Genomic DNA, 997 nt, shown 5'->3' with positions numbered 1-997 from the left:
GGTGTGGTGGCACACGCCTGTAGTCCCAGCTACTCAGTAGGCTGAGGCAGGAGAATCACTTGAACCCAGGACGCGGAGGTTGCAGTGAGCAGAGATCGCACCACTGCACTCCAGCCTGGTGGCAGAACAAGACTCCATCTCAAAAGTAAATAAATAAATAAATAAATAATAAAATAGCAGTGACTATAATGTTTTGTGATGCTAAACTTTGGGAGCTTTTTTTTTCTTTCTTTTCCCAAGTCCCTTTCCCAGTTCCAGGAGCAGAGTTATTCTAAGCTCACTGATGTAAAGGAATAGAAAGAAAAGGTTTGGTGGAAAACCTAATAACCTGCTATCTTTCTGTCTTTTGTTTTTTAAAAGCTTGAGCATTTGGGAGAATTTGGAAAGATTGTGGAGTAAGTGCAAAGAAGGAATTTGCTAAAAAAAATTATATAGGGTAAAATGAGTTTTTTCCAGGTTAGAAAATATCCACTCCCTACCCTCCTACATTCCTTTCCCATGGTTAAGAAGAGGAAAAAACAAAGGCCTCTTGGTGAGCAGTGGTGACTTAGGCAATTTCTTAGAAATATTCTAGAAGACATAGTCATCTTTAAAAAAAAAAATAGCTACAAGGATATGTCTAAGCAGAAGGGACCATGGGCCAAATTACGTGTAGATTTTTGCATTCCAAATATGGTAAAGAAGAAGCAGGAAGCTGGGGGGCCTAAACAGGCCACACAGAAATGGACAAGGAAGAGGCCAGCAGCAGCTTGTGGGGACAAGATGTCAAGCCCCAAATTTTAAACCCACCAACCATCCTCCAAAGTCTGGCTCTGTTTAACAAGGCTGTGGTCTGACACTAGATGCCGCCTCAGTGACTAAAGCATAATTTCCCGTCTCCTGGGAGTGTTGACAGCTGACTCCTGGCAACAATACTCACAGCACAGTAAAGTTCCTTCATCCAAGTTCATGTCCCTTCTCAGGGCATCCCACATCCGAGAACTGCTTGGTACAGAAA

The 997-nt window shown here is 42.5% G+C and overlaps 1 annotated feature.

The window, feature by feature from the left end:
* Nucleotides 496-997: an enhancer, noted in NCBI's record as "OCT4-NANOG hESC enhancer chr21:9999495-9999996 (GRCh37/hg19 assembly coordinates)". NCBI's record gives its function as "activates a minimal SCP1, AML or CMV promoter by ChIP-STARR-seq in primed H9 embryonic stem cells {active_cell/tissue: H9 hESC(primed)}" and the evidence as "EXISTENCE:reporter gene assay evidence [ECO:0000049][PMID:30033119]".

Source organism: Homo sapiens, chromosome 21 (assembly GCF_000001405.40).
Source record: "Homo sapiens chromosome 21, GRCh38.p14 Primary Assembly".
Classification (NCBI taxonomy): domain Eukaryota; kingdom Metazoa; phylum Chordata; class Mammalia; order Primates; family Hominidae; genus Homo; species Homo sapiens.
Note: the sequence above shows the minus strand (reverse complement) of the source record. Positions and strands in the feature narration are given on the sequence as shown.